The 11581-nt window shown below is 40.8% G+C and overlaps 1 long non-coding RNA gene across 2 annotated transcripts in view; it reads right to left on the minus strand.

Moving 5' to 3' along the window:
* The window catches only part of LOC105376637 (uncharacterized), a 292809-nt gene extending 287800 nt beyond the window's left edge, over positions 1-5009 (minus strand). For both annotated transcript variants that reach the window (XR_001748194.1, XR_001748195.2), the window contains exon 1: positions 4952-5009. This is a non-coding gene — a long non-coding RNA (uncharacterized LOC105376637). The remainder of the gene's footprint in view (positions 1-4951) is intronic.
* Between the last annotated feature and the right edge of the window lie 6572 nt (positions 5010-11581).

The following is an 11581-nucleotide window of genomic DNA, read 5'->3' on the forward strand; positions in this document are numbered from 1 at the left end:
GCCAGTTGGCTAAAAGATGGATATGTGGGCTTAGATATGGTGATTCCAGTGGTGTGAGAAATAGACAGAAGTCATATACTTTGGAGAACAATAAGCCATTATAGACATTTGAGAATTTCTCCTAAGAGGAATCTGTTTTAAGAGTGAGTAAGTAGGCCAGGCGCAGTGGCTCACGTCTGTAATCCTAGAACTTTGGGAGGCCGAGTCGGGTGGATCACCTGAGGTCAGGAGTTCGAGACCAGCCTGACCAACATGGTGAAATCCTCGTCTCTACTAAAAATGCAAAAAAATTAGCCAGGCGTGGTGGCAAGTGCCTCTAATCCCAGCTACTCAGGAGACTGAGCAGGAGAATCGCTTGAACCTCGGAGGTGGAGGTTGCAGTGAGCCAGGATGGCACCAAAGCAAGCACTCTAGCCTGGACAATACGGCAAGACTCCGTCTTAAAAAAAAAAACAACAAAAAAAAAAAAACAAAAAAAGCGTAAATACATGTGCCTGTTCTTGTGTGGTGCATGTGGCAGGGTAGGGCAGTAAGCTGGATTAACATGGTCAAATTTTGAGGAACACGCTAGCTATAGGATTCAGTATTAATTAAGAGAACAACAGGGCCGGGCGCGGTGGCTCACGCTTGTAATCCCAGCACTTTGGGAGGCCGAGGCAGGCGGATCACGAGGTCAGGAGATGGAGACCATCCTGGCTAACACGGTGAAACCCCGTCTCTACTAAAAAAAATACAAAAAAATTGGCCGGGCGTGATGGTGGGCGCCTGTAGTCCCAGCTACTCGGGAGGCTGAGGCAGGAGAATGGCGTGAACCCAGGAGGCGGAGCTTGCAGTGAGCCGAGATTGCGCCACTGCACTCCCGCCTGGGCCACAGAGCGAGACTCCGTCTCAAAAAAAAAAAAAAAAAAAAAAAAAAAAAAAAGAGAACAACAGGCTGGGTGCCGTGGCTCACACCTGTAATCCCAGCACTTTGGGAGGCCAAGGCAGGCGGATCACGACGTCAGGAGATCAAGACCATCCTGGCTAACACGGTGAAACCCCATCTCTACTAAAAATACAAAAAAAAAAAAACCAATTAGCTGTGCGTGGTGGCAGGAGCCTGTGGTCCCAGCTACTCGGGAGGCTGAGGCAGGAGAATGGCGTGAACCCAGGAGGCGGAGCTTGCAGTGAGCCGAGATCGTGCCACTGCACTCCAGCGTGGGCAACAGAGCGAGACTCCGTCTCAAAAACAAAACAAAACAAAACAAAACAAAACAAAAACACAAAGCCCTGAGGCAGAGGGACCAGTTACCAGCTGTTTCTGTAGGGCATACTAGAGATGCTTCCAGATTAGACCAAAATAAAGAGGCAGGAGGAAAAAAAAGAAGTGAATAAATTCTAAGGACAATTAGGCAGTAGGACCAATAGCCCAAGTAGTTGTTTGGTTGTATGTAATGAAGAAAGTATTAAGAAAAACTTCAAAATAGCTGGCTTAAGCAACTGGGGGCGATTACGGTAATAACCTTTAGTATTAATAACGTTGGAGTAGGCACCAAGTAGGAGGCAGCATGAAGAGATCAATTTTGGACAAGTTAGGGCCCACAGCTAGACTCCAAGTTCAAATACACGCTCATCTCTCGCCAGTACTTTTTGTTCTTTATCATTACATATCTAGACTATATTTCTTCCTTTAAAAAGTAGCTAAGGCAAAGCTTTCTCCATTCTAAATAGTCCTTTCCCTGAAATTACTCTCAGTATTTCTGAGGTTTTACTGATATATGATGTAACCAATTTGGAAACGTAGGCACGTTTTTTCTACTTGAAACATAATTTTAGTGTGGGTAAATTTTCTAAAGGGAAAACATGACCTATAGTCAGATCTATGAGAAAAGAAAAGAATCTTGTAGATTGACTTCTCTACTGCTCTATTAATTGTTAATTATCACTAATGAGAGGGAAGTAGGATTTGCTTTATATCTGATCAGCTCGTAAATCAAGATCATGTAGAATGCTGGTCCGTGTGAATGCCAGCCAGCTCTCTCCAGTATGAAACCTCAACCTAGTTGTTGTTTCAGCTTTTTTCAGAGAGGTTTCTAAATGCTGAAGTGCTCATAATACAGTCTACTAAATTCTGAGCTCCAAATCCCGAAAGATTAGAATTGGCTGCAGTAAAACTGGAAGATTTTTTTTCCTTCCCGTAAATGATCTTGGAGGGAATTTTTGAGTCTCTGAAAAATTCTCTATGGAAGAATTGTGTGGACAGTGACCTCACATGTGTCTTAAAATCTCCATGGAAGCCCAGGAATCTCTAAACATATCGACGGGGATTTCAGCATTTAATTTCTTATTACCCAGAGGCTTTCCAGAGGACACGACATACCCATTTATTTTGTTTATGTTGTTTTTGTTTTTAAATAGTAGGCAACGTTGAAGAGACAAGACGTTGACGAAACTGTTCTGACAAATAATTGACACATAAATGAAACATTAATTTAAGTTGTTCCAAATGCTCTTACTCCTCAACAGATGCAATTTTTTTAGGAATAAAAATAACTGTGGAACTGCCATAAAAATATCAGCAAACAAAGAGGGTAAACTTCATTTCTGTTTTTCTATGTTTCTAAAAGAATAAGTATGGCTTAAAATTACATTAAAGTAGGCAGCTCCCATGCTGTCTTTTTACTGGTTTAGCTGAAAAGCCTGCTCTAAACTGTAAATTAAGAAACAGCATATAAAAGAAGAAAATGTACCCGTTTTGGATTGGCAATGAAAATATCATATACCATCTCTTTCCATGCAGTTAGACCTTTCAAGAGGCTGATTTTTGAATTCTATTTTCATGAAAGCAATATGAATCTGTTAGACCAACTCTGCGTATATACTGAGTGTTCTGCTTGAATGCTGATATTTTCTGTTCTGGAATATGAATACAATGGATAATCTGTTTTCTGAATTGGATGACTGGAATTCCCCTAATTAAAAAAAAAGAAAAACACAGAGATAAGATACTACATTTATGTATTCTAGAAACATTGTGACATTTTTGTTTTCTAACAGGTGGAAAGGGAGAAAGACCTTTAATAAACTAGAATTTTTTCTAATTATGAGGGAGCAAAGTAAAAGTTTTAAAAGTTGTCCTAACTTTAAAACATTTGTAGTTTTTAAGTTAAAAGTGACCTTAAATAGTAATCTTATAAACTAAAATTATTCAAACATTTTTAAAAATTATTTTATGAGTATTTATGCTAATCTCAATCCGAAATTGTATTCAGCAGAGGTTGAGACTTCATAGTGATTTTTTTGTTTGTTTTAAATACGAAAGGAAAGAAAAGAAGAAATATAGTATTTATTGCAAGGCTCGCTAGACTAAATTTTTACCTATGTTACATAATCTTTGTAAGAATATTGGGTTATAGTAGTATCTCAATTTAAAGAACTGAGAATTGAGGAAAACTAAATTTCAGAAAAGTTAAATATTTTTTACCTATGGTCCCTGAGGGGCAAGGTAATGGAGTAGTATTTGAATCTAGGTTTGTCTGGCTGAATAGTTCCACCCATGTTTTTTAGATTGTTAGGGCAAGCTGGGGCCAAAAGATCTATCTGCTCACCAATAAAATCCTATAAGAGCATCAACTAAGGACATGAGTGTAGACGTTAACCAAACGATTTAGCCTAACAAAACAAGCACTACTTTTCCCTAGGCCTCCAATGATATTTTTGGGTATTATTCGACAACATGCCATAAAGAGCAAATGTTCATTGAGGCTGACCAATAATACTCAATAATTTCATTTCACCAACTATTTAGTAAGTAGGGTTTTTTAAATCCATTACTATATTTGGAATAATGGAGAGACAATAATAATTCAAGGCACAATTCCTGCCCCAGAGAAGCTCAGCACCTCACTAGACAAAGGAGATATACAAATATGCAGAGATAATCAAAGAGTTGGAAATATGTCAACCAGAGCATTACGATGTGTAAGCAAAGTTGAAATAAATAAAAATATTACTGGGTATCTCAAATATGTGTTAAAGTTATGTATATTTTTTAGCATATATTCTTCCTGATTATCTGATTCTAGTATTTCACTGACTTTGAACTGTTCACAAGTTACAAAAAACTCTCGAAGGCATGGATCATGGTAAAACAAAATGATTATTTTTTTATAGATGTGAAAATGATTTTTGCTGGTAAAGTTTCAACTGACCTCCCTCCATCACTGTGTTAGAAGCCAGTTTCCCTCCACTTGCAAATTCACGGTAATATTTCTGATTTTAAAATGTGTCCATGCCTGGCATTGTCTTTTGAACTAGTTGTAACATCTTAACAGTTTACTCATTAATAATAAGTTAATTCCATTTTTATCATATGCTTATTTTATTTCTATATAAGATGTATGATTATACCTTTTTCTTAAAATTATCCTTCAACAAATGTAATATAAACATTCTAGCTTGGTTTCAAGAGATTACAAAGGGACAAATTATTTTCTCTGGCTTTGTAGAAGAGAGGTGGCAATATATATATCCTCTTGCAGACTCAATTTTTAAAACTATATTATTGAGATAAAAGACACCATTTTCTGTAAAGAAATGCATCAGTCATCTCCCCATTATGATACATTCAGTCAGGCTACACATATTCTAATGGTCTGCAAACATATATCAGTGAGAAGTGAACTGATACTTCTCACATCTCTTTCATGAGTTGGATTTAAACACACACACACACACACACACACACACACAGGATTACAGAAGCATAAACTGCAACACTTTAACTACTAAAGTATTAAAGTGGAAGGATATTATCCTTCCACATTTTCAAATAAAATGAAATAAGAACACTAAATCATTCTGTCAACCTGTTAGTATTAATAAGATTTAGTTTCTCAGGGAGACTTTTTATTAATAGTTTCAAATTTCTCTTTGATTTGAGAAATAACACAAATATTTTTCTCATTATTACCTTCTCTCTCTGTTCTTAAGATGTTGCCACGTTGATTTTTTTTTCTCATGAGCCTTTGAAGAGAGCAGCCCTGTCTCTCTTGAACGTCAGATACAAAATGACTTGGCAACACCAGAAGGCTTTGACAGAGGAAGGAAATTTTTCTTTTTAGTACTCATCTATTTAATAACTGTTTCCATTACCTCTAGCAGTATTTTCATTCCTTTCTTCCTGCAGAAACAATATCCCGTGATAGTAGAGAAAATTACAACAAATTGGTTTATTTTCCTCTTACAAAATCTGTGTGTCTATCAAACCCTGAGTTATTATTTACAAGTTCAAGGACATTCTTCAAACTTTTAAGTTCACATCTTAACCCTATGCAGGAACTCAAGTAACTTGTTAGTGCCATCAAAAATCATTAAACATTCTAGCAGATGCTTGTGGAAGGCCTAATTCAAAGCAACTGAGCAAGAAAAGGACACACAATAAAAGAGGGAGAGGAAAAATAAGTGCAGTCTACATAAATGGGGCTTCCTGGAGTTGTGTAGAAAACATTGAACAAGAGTATAAAGAAAACAGAGGATGGCACCCCCTTCGTGTCATCATGGACTCATTCCTTTGGCAAATCAAGATTAAGATTATAAATTGATTATCTTTTTCTGCATATATAAATAGTTCAACTGATTCTCACAATCTAAGTGTTTTTTTCGCTCAACCAATTGGCTATAAATTGACTCATTTTCTAACAAATCAGTAAACTATACATATAAAGATAGATATAAATACATTCATAACGTATTTTAAACTTAATCTTTACCAGTTTACAAACTATGGTTTGGTATATGTCACAAAAACACACAGACACACTGTAAAGGGTGTAGATAGTTATTCAATTGTTTTATTAGTCATTTGCTAAAGAATATGTATTACCCATGTGAGAAGAAAGGCTTGAGTTAGCCCAAAGAAGAGTCATTTGGGTGTTGAAAATTGTGTGTCCCTTGAGAATAAAAACTGTATCTCTTAATACCAGAATAACACTTCATATCAATGAGTTTAGCAACCCTCATTAAAAATTGTATGTAAGCCATTCACAATAATAAAAATCTCCAAAGCCTTAAGACATCAGCCTTCCCAGGGCTTAAAGCCTAGAGAAACTGAAATCATCTTAGAAATCAAATCATCTGCATCATCTCTCTCTCACTTTGAACTTTAATATCATAGTTATTAAGAGACCAGATATCTGATAAGCCTTACATATCTTTTCATCCCTAACACTTAGCTGTGATATCAGCTCAGGAAAGACCTTTAACTCACCATATCAGTTTCTTCATCTATAAAAGGGTAGATTTCTATTCACCGAGCCCCGTCTCCATTCAAAATCTAGGGTAACTTCTTAAACGTTTTTTAATTTGCATTTTTAAACAGAAACTGCTTTTAGAAATAATCCTAACAAGGTCAGGTGCAGTGGCTCATGCCTGTAATCCCAGCCTGTAATTCCAGCACTTTGGGAGGCCGAGGCAGGTCAATCACCTGAGGTCAGGAGTTCAAGACCAGCCTGGCCAACATGGCAAAACCCCATCTCTATTAAAAACACAAAAATTAGCCAGGCGTGGTGGTAGGTGTCTGTAGTCTCAGCTACTGGGGAGACTGAGGCAGGAGAACGGCTTGAACCCAGGAGACGGAGGTTGCAGTGAGCTGAGATCACGCCACTGCACTCCAGCCTGGGTGAGAGAGCAAGACTCTGTCTCAAAAAAAAAAAAAAGAAAAAACAAAGAAAGAATCCTAACAAAACATTCTGTCTCTACAGCACAGGCTTAGAAGTAAAAATGTTTTAATTTGACATTTGTGTCTATAGTGAGAAATAAAAATGAAATCCTAAGTCCCTGAAACTGACTGAATGGACCACCTGTTGGCCAACGGAACCCCAGAGTAACCTTGAAAACCAAGTCCTTGGCCATGATGGGCCATACCTCACTATACCTGCTCTATTGCTAACTGTGCTAAGGGCCATTAGGCTTTCTTCCCTAAGAGCTAAACAGAAATCATCCCTTTCAAAAGAGTCACTGGTCCTCTGATTTTAACCAACCACCTGATGCTGCTCCTCCCTTTTGCAGTTTCAACAAAACAATTGGCCAGCATTTCTTCCTGATAAGAGACCACAGACCATGGCGTGGTTCTGGCTTGTCTATGGAGGTTGCATGGTAAGGGTTTTTGTGTCCTTTTTGAAATCAGAGGGCCAAAAACTCTACCTTTGGATTATGCTAACACTGCCATTTTTGAACATAAGACCCATGTAGGGTCATGAAGCACAACTGTGCATGTGCAAATTTCTCCTTTCATGAATATTTACGCTATTTTTGCTATAGCTTACTCAATATGTATATTTAGCCACCCTGCTTAGCACAAATTCCTATTCCCTTTGCCCCTCTCTCAAAGGGTCTGTTTTTGGCTTCTGGCAGAAGGCTATGCTTCCCAGCCTGTCAGAATGGCCACTCTGCAGGCTACAACACTTCATGAGAAATAAGGGTCTCTTTTTCAAATTTACTAACTTCATCATTCTTCAGTTGACAATAGTAATAATACAGAACAGCTGGACTCCTGGCTAACCACCGCCCCCCCCACCCCCCACTCTTAAGCCTGGAACCGCAGCCTTAAGTGAAAACAGCTGACCCCATTTTTTGACACCCCCCCCCCCCCGCCCCCAATGTTGCCTTTTTGACCTGCCACAACCCTATCCTGTGCCCATAAAAAGACTTCAGCTGTCAGAGCAACACAAGTGGCTGAGCATAAGGGACACAAGTGGCTGAGCAGTGAGCAGAGAAACAGTAAATGAGCATCAGAGACTACAGATAGACGCAGCTAACTTCAGAGAGTGTGGCTTCAGGGAAACATCACCTTCTTCCCAAACTAGCCCCTTTCCAATTCCCCATCCCACTGAGAGGCACTTTTACCGCCCAATAAAATCCTTCGCATACACTACCCATCAATTCGTTCATGTGACCTGATTCTTCCTGGATGCTGGACAAGAACCCGGGTGCTGAAAGGGTAAGGGCTTAGACACTGCTGCAGAGCCCGTACAAAGTGTGCTCTGCCAGAGAGGAGTATGGATAATTCCTCTTCTCTAGGCTCTCTCTGCATCATGGGTGCTGGAAACTGCTGGTTCCAGTGTTTGTTTCCTCTGGTTCCCACACTCGCTTACACACTCCTGCTTGTGAGAAGTGGCCAGCAGTGGGCTGACTGAAATTAGCTACTCCAGTTTCCACCCACTAAGGGAGTCAATGTCAAGGGAACAATCCCATGTCATCTGGGGGCCCGTCCAGGATACGAAAAAGGGTGAGTTAAAAATGCGGAACTGTCAGCTCTGTCTCTTTGCCAAGACCCTGCCACCTCTTTCTTTCCTTCAGGTAAATGGAATGTTGGCTCTGTTTCCCTTCACAGAGGTCTAGCCAGTCTGAACCAGGGAAAGGATAGGTGATTAAAGGAACCCATTTCCACAGAGCAAGAGGCTCTTCCCCAAGATCCCTCTATTTGATGCACTTTAAGTTGTTTTTCTTCTTTTTTAAGCAAGAGAGTTCTCTTGCTGCCTCAGCACTCTGCTTGTGATAGGGAAACGTCAGAGGAGCGACCCATGCTGGCTGTTATCTATAAACTTGGCAAAGCCCATTTGGGACACAACCTAAATGAATCTATGTATCCCCTAAACACCTTTTTGTCCCAAACTCAATTTCAAGCTTCAGGTTGAGGCCCTAGAAAGGAAAACCAGATCTGAGGGATCCAAAGCCAGGCAACATGCACAATGTAAATGGGCAAGACAAATTCTTGCCAATTAAACCCCCACTTCATAGGAGGAGGCCATGCTCTATGGCATAAATGAGGCCCAGGGAACTCAAAGGTTGTCAATCGTGGGAGAGGTAGAGGTATAGGTGAGTGTGGATAATTCCTATTCTCTAAGCCCTCCCTGCATCATGGGTGCAAACCACATTAGTACCCATGGGTGGCACCTGCCAAGGTCACCAGGACTCAGGGATGAAAAGACAGAAGAGAGGCTGGGTGCAGTGGCTCCCAGCACTTTGGGAGGCCGAGGCAGGCGGATCATGAGGTCAGGAGATCGAGTCCATCCTGGCTAACACGGTGAAACCCCGTCTCTACTAAAAAATACAAAAAATTAGCCGGGCGTGGTGGCAGACGCCTGTAGTCCCAGCTACTCAGGAGAATGGCATGAACCTGGGAGGCGGAGCTTGCAGTGAGCCGAGATTACGCCACTGCACTCCAGCCTGGGCGACAGAGCGAGACTACGTCTCAAAAGAAAGAAAGAAAGAAAGAAAAGACAGAAGAGAAAGAGGGATGCCCGCTTTCTTACTCACACCCTGAGTTTTTGCTGAAAGAAGGAAGGAAATGAGGAATGCTGAATTCCCTGTCTTTCAGAATGGGCAACCAACAAACTTTACTGCCTCTAATTTATACTCAGAAATGGACCTTAGAACCAGATAGTACTTTAGAAGACCTCCTGAATGTGACCACCTTAGTCTTTTAGACACAATAAATATGCAGAAGCTTTAATGGCCTAAGCCCACAAACCCCAGAATGCCTAAGGTTCTCCTGTTAACTGCTACAGATGTGGCAAGAACAGTTATCTCTCTCATAACATTTAACCACTCCCACACAAGGCTTAATTTCTTTCACCAGGGTGAGACAACTCAGAATACAATGTTGTCAGTATATTTCACTTCTTATTTCTGTACTTTTTGTCACTAGATTATTTCCTTGTATAATACACATGTTTGATCCATACTTAACCTTGTAAAGCTTGTTTTTTCTTTTGCCTAGAGGCCATCGAGACTTCAAATGTGCAGGCAGCCGGAGCCTCGGATGATGGCTGCCTTTTGCCGGGGACCCTTGGGCAGACCTCTTGGAGGAATCCGACTGCGATTTTCCCCAAACAACGTCCCCTTTTAGCAGGAAGTAGCTAAGACCAGTCATCATCTATATTCTAACGGCAGTTAGATGTGCCTCTTCAGAGGGGGAAATGATACAGAACAGCCAGAATAAACCCCACTCTTAGGCCTGGAACCACAACCTTAAGTGAAAACAGCTGGCCCTGTTTCTCCTGCCCAAATGTTGCCTTTTTGGCCTGCCACCCCTTATCCTGTGCCCATAAAAGGACTTCAGCTGGCAGAGCAACACAAATGGCTGAGCATCAGGGATACAAGCTGCTGAGTGTTGGGCATATACGCGGCTGAGTAGCGAACAAAGAAGTAACAACTGAGCATTGGAGACTATGGATAGATGCAGCTAACTTCAGACAGTGTGGCTTCAAGGAAAGATCACCTTCTTCCCCTTTCCCCATCCCACTAAGAATCACTTTTATCAGCCAATAAAATCCTCTTCATACACTACCCTTCAATCCATTCACGTGACCTGATTCTCCCTGGAACCTGGACAAGAACCTGGGTGCCGAGAAAGTAGGGGCTTGGATGCTGCTGTAGGGCCCACACACAGCATACTCCCACCAGAGAGGTGTTACCAGCCGGTTCCAATGTTCATTCCTTTCGGTTCCCACACTAGCTTGCTCACACACTCCCTCTTGTGAGGACTTGCCAGCAGTGGGCTGATTGAAAATAACCACTCCAGTTCCTGCCCAAGAAGGGGATCAAGGTCAAGGGAATAATCCAATCTCAGTAACACATGAAGAAATTATCTGTAGTAAGATGAAAACTGTCTATGAAGGTGTTAGTGGGCTCGACATATAGTATCGACTAAGTTAATTGTTGTTTATGTTGGGGTAAAGAGAAGGCGTCCCCCTTGCTTTCAGGACGTTCACTGAAAAATCAATTTTCAACAAGGCAGATTAATAAGAGAAAAGGCATACAAATGTATGTAACCATGTGCATGGGGAGAATCACAGAGTGATTACCTAATATCCCAGTGGGGCCCAAGCACTTATATAAGCTCTTTTCAGAGTGGAGGGGGCAGATGGCAAGTATAGGTAATTCTATTAATGGGCATTAAATGATTGCTAAAGAGAATAAATGGATACTCAAGAGAATGAATGGATGGGGGAACAGAGAGTGACTTGTAAATGGTTCTCCTTAGAAGCTGAATGAACCTGAGAGGCAGGCATTTTTTGGTGAAAGACTTGGGCCAGGTCTGGTTACATTGTTCCTCTGCTTTCCTGCAACAGATAATGAGATAACAGGGAACAGAAGGAAGAACAATTGTTCTTCTTGGTGGATCTCTCCAGTCTTTATGTAGATGGGGAAAAGTCTCTTCCAAGGCCTGTTGATCTCCGAGGGTTTTTAAGTCAAAATACTCATTATACCTGGAAGCCATAATTTGATGTGAAATTCTGTGTGTCAGAGGCATCCAAACCAGGGTAAACTCTCTCTTCAATAAGGGCTGGGTAAAATAAGGCCGAGATGTACTGAGCTGCATTCCCTGGAGGTTAGGCATTCTCAGTCACAGTATGGGACAGGAGGTTGGCACAAGAAACAGGTCATAATGACCCTACTGATAAAACAGGATATGGTAAAGAAGCCCAATAAAATCCACCAAAACCAAGATGGTGATGAAAGTGACCTCCAGTCATTCTCGCTGCTCATTATACACTAATAACAATGCATTAGGCTGCTAAAAGACACCCCCGACAGT

Source organism: Homo sapiens, chromosome 11, assembly GCF_000001405.40.
Source record: "Homo sapiens chromosome 11, GRCh38.p14 Primary Assembly".
In the NCBI taxonomy this organism is placed as follows: Eukaryota; Metazoa; Chordata; class Mammalia; order Primates; family Hominidae; genus Homo; species Homo sapiens.